We start from the raw sequence: 14,339 nt of genomic DNA, 5'->3' as shown, positions 1-14,339 counted from the left end.
TGAGGCCATGTTTTGAGGAGCATACAGATTTAAGATTATAATCTCTTCCTGGCGGGTCCCTTTATCATTTATTTCTTTATCATTATGAAAGTTCCCTCTTTAGCCTCATAATGCTTCTTGCTTTAAAGTCTACTCTGACTGATATTTGAATAATTATACCCACATTTTGCTGTTGCTTGCGTTTGTGTGATCTAGCTTTTAGCTTCCTATTATTGTCAACCTTTCTGTGTTTTTGTATTAAAGATGTTTTTCTTGGCCAGGCATGGTGGCTCATGCCTGTAATCCCAGCACTTTAGGAGGCTGAGGTGGGTGGATCACCCGAGGTCAGGAGTTTGAGACCAGCCTGGCCAACATGGCGAAACCCCGTCTCTACTAAAAATACAAAAACTAGCCAGGCATGGTGGCATGCCTGTAATCCCAGCTACTCAGGAAGCTGAGAATCACTTGAACCCAGGAGGAAGAGTTTGCTGTGAGCCAAGATCATGCCACTGCACTCCAGCCTAGGCGACAGAGCAAGGCTCTGTCTCAAAAAAAAAAAATAAATAAATAAAAATAAAAAATGCCAGGAGCGCGGCTGGGCGCGGTGGCTCACGCCTGTAATCCCAGCACTTTGGGAGGCCGAGGCGGGCGGATCACGAGGTCAGGAGATCGAGACCATCCTGGCTAACATGGTGAAACCCTGTCTCTACTAAAAATACAAAAAATTAGCCAGGCGTGTGGCAGGCGCCTGTAGTCCCAGCTACTTGGGAGGCTGAGGCAGGAGAATGGCATGAACCCAGGAGGCAGAGCTTGCAGTGATCTGAGATCACGCCACTGCACTCCAGCCTGGGTGACAGAGCGAGACTCTGTCTCAAAAAAAAAAAAAAAAAAAAAAAATGCCAGGAGCATTAGTATTTCAAATGAATATCCTAAATGGTAGCACTTGCTCATAACCATCTATCTTAATCCTGAGTACTTTATTAGAAACTTGTTCTGCAAAAGGAACGGACTCAGGAATAATTAGTTGGAACTGTAAAATCTTACCATCTCATGGAGCGATATTATAATTACATTCTATTGCTGGTGTCTTCCACTGTTTAGTTGCCACTAAGTCAGCATTTCCGTACTTATGCATAGGGAAAGTGAGCCATGGGCATGTTAAATCACTTGTTCCAGGCCTTATAACCAATAGATGGCAGAACCAAGACATATGCAAAAGCTTTTAAGCTTTTTACTCAGCCCACGTCCTGACAACAGAAAATACAATAGCAGTTAATATGTCACTTGTTCTTTTTCTCACAAAAGGTAATTCATCTCTATTCTCCCTGCCTTCCATAAGTAAAATTTTGGTTTCTTCTACGACCTACATATTAACCAGGGGTCATGTATATCAGACAAATAAACACAGTCTCTGCTTACTTACTGAGTCCAAAGGCAGGCTGGGAAGAAGTGAGTATGTCCCTGAGAGCCCTGTTTCATTTTGGGATCAACTCAATTTAGTTTCTTGGTAAATCTGGAATTAATTTATGGATTTAGAAATAAACAAAGGAAGACATTTAGATGGCCGCTGCCGTCCTGAATCCGGTTTAGAGTACCACTAGAAAACACAATTAACCCCAAAATTTTTTCCCACTTGGTAGAGGATTACCGGAAACAGGTAGAGACATAATTTCATACACAATTCCATGTAGGCAATACCCAGGAATGGAGACAGAAGGTGTGCTGTTGCCTAATCACCACGTTTATGCTCTGTACTGAGTGTAGATTTATAGACCTCGTCAGACAGAGAAACAATGACTGGAAAAATACATGGTCCCTTGTAAAAGCAGTTGTCTACCATTTAATCTTGATGGAAAGAAATTTGTTCCTATGCTAATTTCTCATTAAGGAAATTGAACTGTCTATTTCTATGGATAGAAATACATATAGAGGTATCAAGGCTAAAAGCAAAAAACATCAGGTATGAGATCAGATGTGTAAAGAAGGATAGAGAAGGCAACCTGAAATTATTGAGAGCTCCACAATAGCTTTCTTCTTGAGTTTCCTGTATTCGCAGCCTGAGAAAAGCACCTTCCCCATTCTAGCTTCTGACACTCCACCCTTGTTTTTCCAAACTCAACACGGCTGTGGATGTCAATACTAGGTTCATCTATCCGGGTACTACAGTTTATTTAAAATGTGCAGGAAGCAGCCAGGCGCAGTGGCTTGCGCCTGTAATCTCAGCACTTTGGGAGGCCAAGGCGGGCGGATCATCTGAGGTCAGGGGTTTGAAACCAGCCTGGCCAACGTGGCGAAACCCTGTCTCTACTAAAAATACAAAATTAGCCTGGCGTGGTGGCGCATGCCTGTAATCCCAGCTACTTGGGAGGCTGAGGCAGGAGAATCGCTTGAACCCGGGAGGCGGAGGTTGCAGTGAGCCGAGATCATGCCATTGCACTCCATCCTGGACAACAAGAGTGAAACTCCATCTCAAAAAAAAAAAAAAAAAGTGCCGGAAACTCAAAGAACCTATGAAAGGCCAGAAAGTCGGTGAGGTTTGTTTATTGTGTAACCACAAACATCACCAAAACCACAGAGAGGACTGCTCAACCTATGATGCCACTGAGCAGACACAATATTTGACATAAACACTACAGTTTGAACAGGTGACACTGGGGACCAGATATTAGAATATCTGCTGCTGCTCCTGCTCCTGCTGGTGCTGCTGCTGCTGGGAGACATCTCTACTGCCATTCTCACCAAAAGGAGGATTTTACATACTTCTGGTTCCTCACTTACCCACTTGCAAAATGATGTTCTATACAGGTGTGCCTGACTGGCAAAGGCTAGGTCTCATGTCTGTGCCTTAACTGCACTGGATCCTTGAAAATGGAGCTTTGGCTTCAACTTGGAGAAGCAAAATTTATAACGTGGGAAATTCTCCAAACATGGGAATATTGTTCAAAAGATGCTAGGTGGCCATAAAAATAAATGAACACTGTATATACTACTGTGGAGTTATCAGAATTTAATTGCTAAAGTATAGTTTCTAAAAAGCTGAGAGCAAATATACAACGAACGCATCGAAGTTTAACTCATTAATTAATAAGGGATCAGTAAGATTAAAGTCAGTTCAAATAAGAATTTGAGGCCGGGCATGGTGGCTCATGCCTGTAATCCCAGCACTCTGGGAAGCCGAGGTGGGTGGATCACCTGAGGTCAGGAGTTCGAGACCGGCCTGGCCAACACGGTGAAACCCTGTATCTACTAAAAATGCAAAAATTAGCTGGGTGTGGTGGTGTGCATTTGTAATCTCAGCTACTGGGGAGGCTGAGGCAGGAGAATCGCTTAAATCCGGGAGGCGGAGGTTAGAGTGAGCTGAGATCGCACCACTGCACTCCAGCGTGGGCGATGAAGTAAGGCCGTGTCTCAAAAAAAAAAAAAAAAGAATTCGACTGACAGAGATCTACATTCTCTATTTCTCTATTCAGTGAAATCTACAATACAAAATTTATTTGCATTGCCATGTATAGGGATCATTTGCATAGTTATCAGTTTTTTACAACTTAACTCTAAAAAGAATCAAACAATTCCTGTAAAGGTCCACTAAATAATACCCAGCACATCACTGAAAGGACACCTGCTAATGTCTTTCGCCTGAATAATTTTTCTTAATAAAATGTTAAGTGATTGACTAAAACAAAAAAAATGCTAAGTGAAAAAAACAAGATAGAGAAAAATATGTGTAATATGTTAGTGTTCACTTAAGATGAAAGAATATTAATATATAGGCATATTTGCATATTTCTAAAAATAGGAAGATAAACCATAAATTTTTTAAATGATTACCAATTAAGGAAAAAAGGAAATCGTGTAAAACAGACAAAAGTAGAGGCTAGAGTTCTTTGAATATACCTCATTGTGATGATTTCACTTTGGATCCACATAAATGTTTTACATAATTATAAAATGAAATTACATAAGTGTAAAAAGCAAGCCCTAAAAGGAAGAAGTGAAATGAAACAAATAAACCTGTGTATGGAGGTGGAGCATAACCATACAGGGAACTATTCCAGGTGACTTCAAAACACAGTAATTGACTTACATCGTTAGCGACATTTGGCTTAATGGAGAAAAACCTGTCCCCCTCCACTTTAAAACCTCTAATTTGTTTTCATTAACAATCTTATTGGCGTAGGCTTGTTGTTGTTATTCTGCAATTTTACAGGATAAATTAAACAAGTACTTGAGTTGATATTTTAGAGAACCCAGATTTTTTAAGCATGTTTGAAAAGAAGTGCAGATATAAGATTGATGGGGTGAGTAAACCCTATAGTCTTGAATTTGAATTTGAAGTATCAGTGTCAGCTTGTGATTTATTTAATTTTTTTAAAAAAGATATTTCTTAGCTCTAGCTACTGAAAAGGCTTAGCAACAATGGTCAATCTGCTATCCCAAACACTGCTAGTTCCTAGATTATGGTATTTAAACATTGTTTCCACTAAAAGGAACCAGAGCTCCTTGGAGAAATGGCTGATTCCAGGTCTGGGGCAGGAATTGTTCAAGACAAACCTGCAATAGCCTGTCATATTAGAAAGAAAGGAAGCTTTTAAAGAGTACTAATATTATGCCAAATATACAAACTCTGTCTGCACCAAAGAGCCAGTTTGAATAAATTCCTACAGACCAAAAATGAGACAATATGAGTATCAATAAGGATAAAACTGGAATGGATTGAAACACATCAAATATGTTTAAATCCATGAATTCATAATGATATAAACATAACTCAATGGTTTCACAATATATGGAGCTTATTTAAATCTCAATTCAAACAAACTATTAAAAAATGTATAAGACAGTCCAGAAAATGTGAACATTGATAGGATGTCTGATGACATTAAGAAATTATTGTCTTAATTTCTTATGACAATAAAGTGGCTCACACCTGTAAACCCAGTACTTAGGGAGGCTGAGGTGGGCAGATTACCTATGGTCAGGAGTTCGAGACAAGCCTGGCCAATGTGGTGAAACCCCATCTCTACTAAAAATACAAAAATTAGCTGGGTGTGATGGCACATGCCTGTAATCCCAGCCACTTGGGAGGCTGAGGCAGGAGAATCGCTTGAACTCGGCAGGCAGAGATTGCAGTGAGCTGGGATCACACCACTGCACTCCAGCCTGGGCAAGTGAGTGAGACTCTGTCTCAGAAAAAAAAAAAAAAGAAAATTATTGTTCATTTATTTTAGATGTGATGATGGTATTGTGGTATTATATTTGTTTAATAGTCTCTGTCTTTTAAAGACACACACAGGGACATTTACGTATGAAATGACAGAATGTCTAGAATTTATTTAATATAATTCAGGTAGTGAGAGTGGGAATATAAATAAAATAAGATTGGCCATGTACTGATCATTGTTGAAACAAGACAATGGTTTCACGGCAGCTCATTTTACTACTATTTTTACTTTTACATGTGTTTTAAATTTTCCATAAGCAGTATCTTTTTAAAAAAAACTGTATGGCTACAAACACAAACATGTCTACTACAGCTGAGATGAATCAACATTATAATGATGTTACTTCTCCCTAAATTTATGCATATATTCAAATAAAAACTCTAATAGCCAGATGTGGGGGCTCATGCCTGTAATCCCAGCACTTCAGGAGGCCAAGGTGGGCAGATTGCTTGAGCCCAGGAGTTTGAGGCCAGCCTGGGCAACATGGTGAAACCCCTTATCTACAAAAAACAAAAAACAAAATCAGCCAGGCATGGTGGTGTGCACCTGTAGTCCCAGCCACTCCAGAGGCTGAGGCGGGAGGATCACTTGAGCCCAGGAGGTCAAGGCTGCAGTGAGCCATGATTGCATCACTGCACTCCAGCCTGGGTGACAGAATGAAACCCTGTCTCCAAAAGAAAAAAGCAAAAAACTCCAACAGAGTTTTTCAGGGAACTTGATAAACTGATTCAAAAAATTCATATAAAGAAGAGTTAACAAGTACAAAATACAAAGACAATGTTTAAAAAGAAGAACAAAGATAGGGTGGCCTAGATGACTTGCCTTACCATACGTGGAGACATATTACAAAGCTGTTTTAATTAAAACTGTGTGATACTGAAGTAGCAAAAGATAAAAAGAACAGCTTCATGAGCTCAGAAACTGACCTATCTATGTATGAGAATTTGGTGTACAATAGAGGTAGAATCAAAATTGGAAAACAAAGAAAATAAGCTCCCTACGTCATACCATACACAAAACTAAATTCCAGGTGAATTAAACACCTAAAAGCAGTAGCCATAGAAAAGATAAATAAAACACTCTCTGAAAGTATAAAAATAAGATGAGTGTATCTTTATTACATTTGGATGAGGAAAATTTTCTTATACAAAAACAGTATAGATTGATTATACGGAAAAGCTGAATAAAATGTTCTACCTCAACATAAAAAAATTTCATATAGAAAAACTCACTATAAACAAGACTAAAGGACAAGTGGAATTTCATAGGCTTATGCAAAGGAAGAAAAAATAAAATAAAAGACAAGTGGAAGACTAAGGGAGGATGTTTTTAAGGGTATATAACTGTCAAAGATTAGAAGCCAGAATATATTTTTAAAACACATACACCTTGGCCGGGCACGGTGGCTCACACCTGTAATCCCAGCACTTTGGGAGGCTGAGGCGGGTGGATCACGAGGTGAAGAGTTCAAGACCAGCCTGGCCAAGATGGTGAAACCCTGTCTCTACTAAAAATACAAAAATTAGCTGGACATGCTGGCAGGTGCCTGTAATCCCAGCTACTTGGGAGTCTGAGGCAGAGAATCGCTTGAACCTGGGAGGTGGATGTTGCAGTGAGCCAAGATCGCACCAATGCACTCCAGCATGGGAGACAAAGCACGACTCCGTCTCGGAAAACACACAACACACACACACACACACACCTCCCACAAATCACTAAGAAAATGCAACAATACAATAGAAAAATGAGCAAAAAAGATGAACAGGAAATTCACAGAAAATTCAAACGGTCAATAAATGTGTGAAAAGATCCTCAACCTCATTAGTAATTAGGAAAATGCAAATTTAAAAGATGATAGTTCGTCTTGCTCCCACCCCACCCAGGTAATCATTCTCAATTGGATATATTTGAGTGTATCCTTTTTTCCATGAATATACTAACACATACACACACACACACACACACACACGCATATTACTAAACTATACATATAGTATATATTAATAAAGACATTTTGAGTTTGATGAACGAAGGAATGGCTGAGTGAGAACCAGACAATATCAGATCATGAATGAGTTGTGTTAAAAGCAGTAAGACAGGTTTTCCTAGGAAATCATACAAGGAGCTGGGATTTGGGGAGCTTTATCTAAATCTCTTTATAACTAAATGTTTTCCATGTAAAAGTTGGTGTTTTTAAAATTCAATTTAATTTTTTTTTTGAGATAGGGTCTTGATATGTCATCCAGGCTGAAACACAGTGGCATAATCATGGCTCACTGCAGCCTTGTCCTCCTAGACTCAAGCAATTCTCCCACCTCACCCTCCCCCTCAGCTGGGACTACAAGCATGCACCACCATGCCCAGCTAATTAAAAAAAATTTTTTTGCAGAGACAGGGTCTCACTATATTGCCTAGGCTGGTCTTGAACTCCTGGCCTCAAGTGATCCTCCCGCCTCAGCCTCCCAAAGTGCTGGGATTATAGGCATGAGCCACTGGGCTCAGACAAGGGCTCTTCTTGATGGCTTACTGTATCCACTTTGTCCCCAAGACCATAGGGAAATGACTAGAGGTGACTGTACTAGCTAGATTTTAAATGAAACTGAAATGAAAGTTCACTTCCTCATTTTGAGTACCTCATGTGACAAGTTCCAATTTCTTTTCAAGTCAATTGAACTGAAATCTCCTTGTTGCTTTGAAATCTTAGAAGAGAGCCCACTAATTCAAGGACTCTTACTGTGGGAGCAACTGCTGGTTCTATCACGTATGTACTCTTTGTTCTTTTTCTCCCATTTGGTCTTCAAACACTCTGTGTTTGTAACTTGTTCTGCCTGCTAGGTTTTAAATCTTTGGTTTCAGGAAGTAAACTAAAAAATCGTGTCGTTCAATTTGCCTCTTCTCTATTTTTAAAAAGTTAATGTCTGCTTGAGCATCTAAGCATCTAAGTTGAGACTGAAACATGGCTTTCTTTGGAATATAATTTAAAGGCTTACATGTTTAAAATTCCAGATGTTTTCAATTAAAAAGAAATGGAAAAGAAAGTAGAATCCAGTTTGAGGGAGCTAGTCGCTGAATTTCTGTTGATGTCTCTTGAATTAAATACAGAAGTGGCATTTTAAAGAGTAGTTAATTGCCTCATTTGAAACAGATGTCTGATCATTAAAAAAAAAAAAACGTAAAAAGGAAAATTACCTACCTAAAGATGTGAAAGCAATAGATGAGAATTGTCTTTTAACTATCTGTAAAGACTGTGGATATTTAAACAGGTCAGTTAAGAAGAGCCCATGTATTCAAAAATTCAGGAGATAAACTGATTTTTCAGAGGTTTGTCTCTCTTAAGGATGATTTTTTTTTTTTTTTGAGAGAGAGAGAAAGAGATTTCCTTTGATTAGATTTGTTGGCAAATCCTGGAAAGTCCCTGTTTTCTAACCCTCTAGATGTGTTTGGTTTACCAGATATTGGGAAATTCCTGGAAATCACTTTTTAAAGTGCTACTAAGCATTGGAAGTAGTATTTCTGACATAAATCTGCAGCTGTTCCCTGTGACTATATATCCCAGGAATTTTCCTGTATAATTCTGTTTATAATAGTCTGTCCCTTTGATAGACTTTGCATTGTTATTTTCTCTTATGAAAACATGTGGTCACAACATATGCAGCTAATAGCAACACTTCCTATGTTACCTTTCCTTACACAGAATGAAACGGCTGGTTTGTGTGCTCTTGGTGTGCTCCTCTGCAGTGGCACAGTTGCATAAAGATCCTACCCTGGATCACCACTGGCATCTCTGGAAGAAAACCTATGGCAAACAATACAAGGAAAAGGTAGATTGGATTGCCACTCGAGCGATATGCTTTTAAAGGAGTACTGTTTTCTACCTCTTAAAATTGTGTTCTTACAGGCAGTGTTTTCAGTAAATATTTAAGCTGGGTGTGGTGGCTCGCGCCTGTAATCCTAGCCCTTTGGAAGGCCAAGGTGAGCGGATCACCTGAGGTCAGGAGTTCGAGACCAGCCTAGCCAACATGGCGAAACCCCATCTCTACTAAAAATACAAAAATTAGCTGGATGTGGTGGTGGGCGCCTGTAATCCCAGCTACTCGGGAGGCTGAGGCAAGAGAATCACTTGAGCCGGGAAGGCGGAGGTTGCAGTGAGCCAAGATTGTGCCATTGCATTCCAGCCTGGGTGACAGAGTGAGACTCCATCTCAAAAATAAATAAATAAATATTATGTACTTGTTTCTTGCCAGATACTGTTCTTGGTACCATACAGCAGGAATCAAAACAAAATTCCTGTTATGGAGCTTATATTATAGTGAGAGAGACAGGAAATAAGAAAATAAACAAGCAGATATGTAGTATGCTAGATGGTGATAAGTGTTGTAGATAAAAATAACAGAAGGCATGGAGAGTAGGAAGGGCCCTGGGTGGTGGTGGTGGTAAGAAGTCTATCTATATGACAGGAGGGTTAGGGAAGGCCTCACGGATAAGGGTGCCATTTGAGCAGAGAATTGATGGAAGCCAGGGAGCAAGCAAAATACATAATAGAGTGAAGGTCTCAGGCCAAGGGCAAATCAGCACAAGCTCCTGAGGAAGGGCCACATTTGGGATGGCTGAGGAGCGAAAAGGCGTTAATACCCACATAGTGTGGCCAGATATTGTTTCTTGACTATCACTTCCCATTTTGTACTTTTGTTTTTATTTCAAAGCACACTTGCTGATGTTAAGACCTTAACCCTACTGCTTTAAATAACTAAGTCCTGTAACTATGTAATATTTCTGTTTGTAAGCTAGCATCATATATTTATTTATTTGACATATTATTTTGTATAAAAATGACACTCTTAGGTCATACACTCTAAGTTTTATTTTTATTTATTTATAATTAAATAATAATTGTGTCTATTTATGGAGTACAATGTGATGTTATGATACAAATATACATTGCAGAATGATTAAATTAGGCTAATTAACCTATTCAGCACCTCACATACTTATCCTTTCATTGTGATAAGAACATTTAAAATCTACCCTTTCAGTAATTTTGACATATAAAATACATTATTATTATTATCTGTAGTCACCATGCTATGCAATAGATTGCTAGAATGTAGTCTTCTTGTCAAATGAAACTCTGTACTCTTTGCCTAACATCTCCCCTTTCCCTGTCTACCCTCCGCCCAGCCTCTGCTAACCACCATTCTACTCTCTACTTTTATGAGTTCAACTGTTTTAGATTCCACATGTAAATGAGATTATGCAGTACTTGTCTTTCTGTGCCTGGCTTATTTCACTTAGCATAACGTTCTCTAGACCCATCCATGTTGTTGAAAATGACAGAATTTCCTTTTTTTTTTTTTAAGGCTAAATAGTATTCCATTATGTATGGAATACAATATGTACCACACTTTTTTATCCATTCGTCTTTTAATGGACACTTTATAAGGTTGATTCCGTATCTTGGCTATTGTGAATAATGCTACAATGAACATGGAAGTGCAGCTATCTCATTGACATACTGATTGCGCTTCCTTGGGACATATACCCAGAAGTGAGATTGCTGGATGATATGGTAATTATATTTTTAGTTTTTTGAGGAACCTCCATACTGTTTTCCCAAATGGCTGTACTAATTTACATTCCTACTAAAAGTGTATGAGGGTTCCCTTTTCTCCACATCCTCACCAACACTTATCTTTCATCGTTTTGATAATAGCCATTCTAACAGATGTGAGGTGATATCTCATTGTGGTTTTACTTTACATTTCCCTGATGACTGGTGATGTTAAGCATTTTTTCATATATCTGTTGGCCATTTGTATGTGTCTTGTTTTGAGAAATGTCTATTCAGGTCTTCTGCCCATTTTTAAACAGGGTTGTTTTCTTGATAGTTACTTTGAGTTCCTTCTATATTTGGGATATTAGCCCCTTATCAAATGTATGATTTGCAAATATTTTCTCCCAATCTATGAGTTATCTTTTCACTCTGTTAATTGTTTCCTTTATTGTACGAAAGCTTTTTAGTTTGATGGAGTCCCGTTCGTCTATTTTTGCTATTGTTGCCTGTTCTTTAGGGGTCATATTCAAAAAACCGTTGCCCGGACCAATGTTGTGGAGTTTTCCCCTATATTTTCTTATAGTGGTTGTATATAGTTTCAGGCCTTATGTTTGTGCTTTAATTCATTTTGAGTTGATTATTGTATATGGGGTGACATAAGGGTTCAATTTCATTTTTCTGCATTTGGATAGCCAGTTTTCCCAATACTATTTATTAAACAGACTATCCTTTCCCCATTGTGTGTTCTTGGCACCTTTGCTGAAAATTGATTGACCATAAAGTTGCAGGTTATTTCTGGGCTCTATATCCTATTCCATTGGTAAATGTGTCTGTTTCTATGCCAGTACTATGCTGTTTAAATTACTATAGTTTTGTAATATATTTTGAAACCAGGCATTTTGTAATGCCTCCAGCTTTGTTCCTCTTGCTAAAGATTACTTTGACTATTTAAGGACTTTTGTAGTTCCGCATGAATTTGAGGATTGTTTTTTCTATTTCTGTGAAGAATAACATTAGAATTTTGATAGAAATTGCACTGAATTTCTAGTTTGCTTTGGATAGTATGAACATTTTAGCAATATTAATTCTTCCAATCCATAAGCATGGAATATCTTCCCATTTATTTATTTTATCTTAAATTTCTTTCTTTCTTTTTTCTTTTTTTCTTGTTTTTTTGAGATGGAATTTTGCTCTTGTTGCCCAGGCTGGGGTGCAGTGGCGTGACCTCTGCTCACCACAACCTCTGCTTCTGGGGTTCAAGCAATTCTCCTGCCTCAGCCTCCTGAGTAGCTGGGATTACAGGCATGTGCCACCACGCCCGGGTAATTTTGTATTTTTAGTAGAGTCGGGGTTTTTCCATGTTGGTCAGGCTGGTCTCAAACTCCCGACCTCAGGTGATCTGCCTGCTTCGGCCTCCCATAGTGCTGGGATTACAGGTGTGAGCCACCACGCCCGGCCTATTTTGTCTTCAGTTTCTTTTATCAATGTTTTACAGTTTTCAGCATATAACTTTTCAACTCCTTGGTTAAATTAACTCCTAAATATGTTTTAAATGCTGTTGTAAATAGAATTGTTTTCCTAATTTCTTTTTCAAATAGTTGTTAGTGTATAAAAATACTACTGACTTTTGTATGTTGACTTTGTGTCTTACAACTTTACTGAATTCATGTATCAGTTCTAATAGTTTTTTGATGGAGTCTTTCTTCTCTCTTTTTTTTTTTTTTTTTTTGAGGCGGATTCATGCTCTGTCGCCCAGGCTGGAGTGCAGTGGCGCAATCTCGGCTCACTGCAACCTCCGCCTCCCAGGTTCAAGCAATTCTCCTGCCTCAGCCTCCTGAGTAGCTGGGATTACCGGCACACGCCACCACACCTAGCTAATTTTTGTGTTTTTAGTAGAGATGGGGTTTCACCATGTTGGTCAGGCTGGTCTCGAACTTCTGACCTCATGATCAACCCATCTTGGCCTCCCAGAGTGCTGGGATTACAAGCATAAGCCGCCTTGCCCAACCTTCTTTTTTTTTTTTTTTGAGATGAGATCTTGCTCTGTCACCCAGGTTGGAGTGAAGTGGTGTGATCATAGCTTACTGCAGCCTCAAACTCCAGCTCAAGTGATTCTCTTGCCTCAGCCTTCCAAGTAACTGGGACTGTAGGCACATGCCACCACACCTGGCTAATTTCTATTTTTGTTTTTTGTAGAGAAGGGGTCTTGCCATGTTGTCCAGGCTGGTGTTGAACTCCTAGATTCACACAATCCTCCCACCTCAACCTCCCAAAGTACAGGCATGAGCCACCACACCTGGCCAAGACTTTCTATATGATCATGTTATCAACAAACAAACGCAATTTCACTTCTTCCTTCTCTTATTTGGAGATCTTGTATTTATTTTTCTTGCCTAATTGCTCTGGCTAGGATTTTCAGCACTATATTGACTAGAAATGGTGAGAGTGGGTACCCTTGTCTTTTTCTGATCTTAGCAGAATGGCCTTTAAATTTTCACCCAATTGAGTATGGTGTTAGCTGTAGTCTTGCCATATATGGCCTATTTGTGTTGAGGAACATTCCTTCTATATGTAATTTGTTGAGAATGTTTGTTATGAAAGGATGTTGAATTCTGTCAAATGCTTTTCCTGCATCTATTTAAATGATCATACGGTTTCGTTGGTGGTGATGAATTTCACCCTCACCCACACCCTTTATGAACAGGTTCCTCATTTCAAGATTGACTGGACTTAGATGTGCAATTAGCACCACTATCTGGTTAAATGAATGCTATCCCTCTGTTTAATAATTCCAGTCCCTCAGGATGAATGAACCTGACTTTTGATTCGTATCCTACCTTTATAATTGATCTCAAAGTGCACTTCTTTTTTTTTTTTTCCTTTCTTGCACTTAGTTAGATTTGTTTGCCTTTATACCATTGCTTCTCATCTTGTGGTTTGGAAGTAAGCCCATCATGCATGCCCATTATGTCCATTACTGGGGTAACAGTAAAACCTTGCTCCAAGGGAAAGAAACCTGCATCCAGACTTGCTACCCAGTGCCTCTGGGACTGGGCTCACCCGCTCAATGAAATGAGGCAGAACACAGTTGTTGCTGACTGCTCCCTGGGGTTCCAGCTTATTGGAAACTCTGGCTTCAGCTACTGTAGGAGGCACCATCCACCTTGCCTTCTACATCATTGTATTCTATGTAAATGAATCTCCTGAAGGACAAGAAAATCGTCGGTCAGCATGTAAATTCACTCTGAATAAAATTAAAATAATAGAATCAAAAATGAATTTTCAAAAGACTATATATAAAGGAATAATATGCACACTAATGGACAAGAAATAAATTAGAAATCTTGAAAATAAAAAATATTGTCATTGCGATAAAAATCAAAAGGATTTCCAGACTGGAAAGAGCTGGATAGAATCAGTAATCTGAAAGATAGTACTGAGGAATTCACCCAGAATGCAGCACCTAGAAATAAAAAGAAAAATATATGAAAACGCAAGTAAGAGAGATGAAAGAGAGTTTGAGGCTCCAAAATACTTCGGATAGGAGTTTCTGAAGAAGAGAATTAGGTGGAATGGTGGAGAAGCAA

At 38.9% G+C, this 14,339-nt stretch overlaps 1 protein-coding gene across 2 annotated transcripts in view, besides 8 other annotated features; it reads left to right on the top strand.

The window, feature by feature from the left end:
• Window positions 2,552–2,671: a silencer, noted in NCBI's record as "silent region_1305". NCBI's record gives its function as "represses an Ori minimal core promoter by ATAC-STARR-seq in GM12878 lymphoblastoid cells {active_cell/tissue: GM12878}" and the evidence as "EXISTENCE:reporter gene assay evidence [ECO:0000049][PMID:35858748]".
• Window positions 7,864–8,008: an enhancer, noted in NCBI's record as "145 bp 1:150738200 sequence used in MPRA reporter constructs". NCBI's record gives its function as "activates a minimal TATA-containing promoter with rs3754212 allelic activity by MPRAs in C283T melanocytes {active_cell/tissue: C283T}" and the evidence as "EXISTENCE:reporter gene assay evidence [ECO:0000049][PMID:36423637]".
• Window positions 7,864–8,011: a biological region, named in NCBI's record as "melanoma risk locus-associated MPRA allelic enhancers 1:150738197 and 1:150738200".
• Window positions 7,867–8,011: an enhancer, noted in NCBI's record as "145 bp 1:150738197 sequence used in MPRA reporter constructs". NCBI's record gives its function as "activates a minimal TATA-containing promoter with rs1136774 allelic activity by MPRAs in C283T melanocytes {active_cell/tissue: C283T}" and the evidence as "EXISTENCE:reporter gene assay evidence [ECO:0000049][PMID:36423637]".
• The window catches only part of CTSS (cathepsin S), a 35,591-nt gene continuing 29,133 nt past the window's right edge, over window positions 7,882–14,339 (top strand). For both annotated transcript variants that reach the window (NM_001199739.2, NM_004079.5), the window contains exons 1-2: window positions 7,882–7,962; window positions 8,896–9,022. In NM_001199739.2, coding sequence (NP_001186668.1) covers window positions 8,897–9,022 — 126 coding nt within the window. In that variant the 5' untranslated portion in view covers window positions 7,882–7,962; window position 8,896. The remainder of the gene's footprint in view (window positions 7,963–8,895; window positions 9,023–14,339) is intronic.
• Window position 7,936: a transcriptional cis regulatory region, noted in NCBI's record as "rs3754212 or 1:150738200 MPRA-significant variant associated with a GWAS melanoma risk locus at 1q21.3". NCBI's record gives its function as "allelic transcriptional activity by MPRAs in C283T melanocytes {active_cell/tissue: C283T}" and the evidence as "EXISTENCE:reporter gene assay evidence [ECO:0000049][PMID:36423637]".
• Window position 7,939: a transcriptional cis regulatory region, noted in NCBI's record as "rs1136774 or 1:150738197 MPRA-significant variant associated with a GWAS melanoma risk locus at 1q21.3". NCBI's record gives its function as "allelic transcriptional activity by MPRAs in C283T melanocytes {active_cell/tissue: C283T}" and the evidence as "EXISTENCE:reporter gene assay evidence [ECO:0000049][PMID:36423637]".
• Window positions 8,942–8,991: an enhancer, noted in NCBI's record as "active region_1699". NCBI's record gives its function as "activates an Ori minimal core promoter by ATAC-STARR-seq in GM12878 lymphoblastoid cells {active_cell/tissue: GM12878}" and the evidence as "EXISTENCE:reporter gene assay evidence [ECO:0000049][PMID:35858748]".
• Window positions 9,703–9,792: an enhancer, noted in NCBI's record as "active region_1698". NCBI's record gives its function as "activates an Ori minimal core promoter by ATAC-STARR-seq in GM12878 lymphoblastoid cells {active_cell/tissue: GM12878}" and the evidence as "EXISTENCE:reporter gene assay evidence [ECO:0000049][PMID:35858748]".

The sequence above is a fragment of the Homo sapiens genome, chromosome 1 (assembly GCF_000001405.40).
Source record: "Homo sapiens chromosome 1, GRCh38.p14 Primary Assembly".
In the NCBI taxonomy this organism is placed as follows: Eukaryota; Metazoa; Chordata; class Mammalia; order Primates; family Hominidae; genus Homo; species Homo sapiens.
The sequence above is the reverse complement of the archived record's forward strand: the minus strand, read 5'-3'. Positions and strand labels throughout refer to the sequence as shown.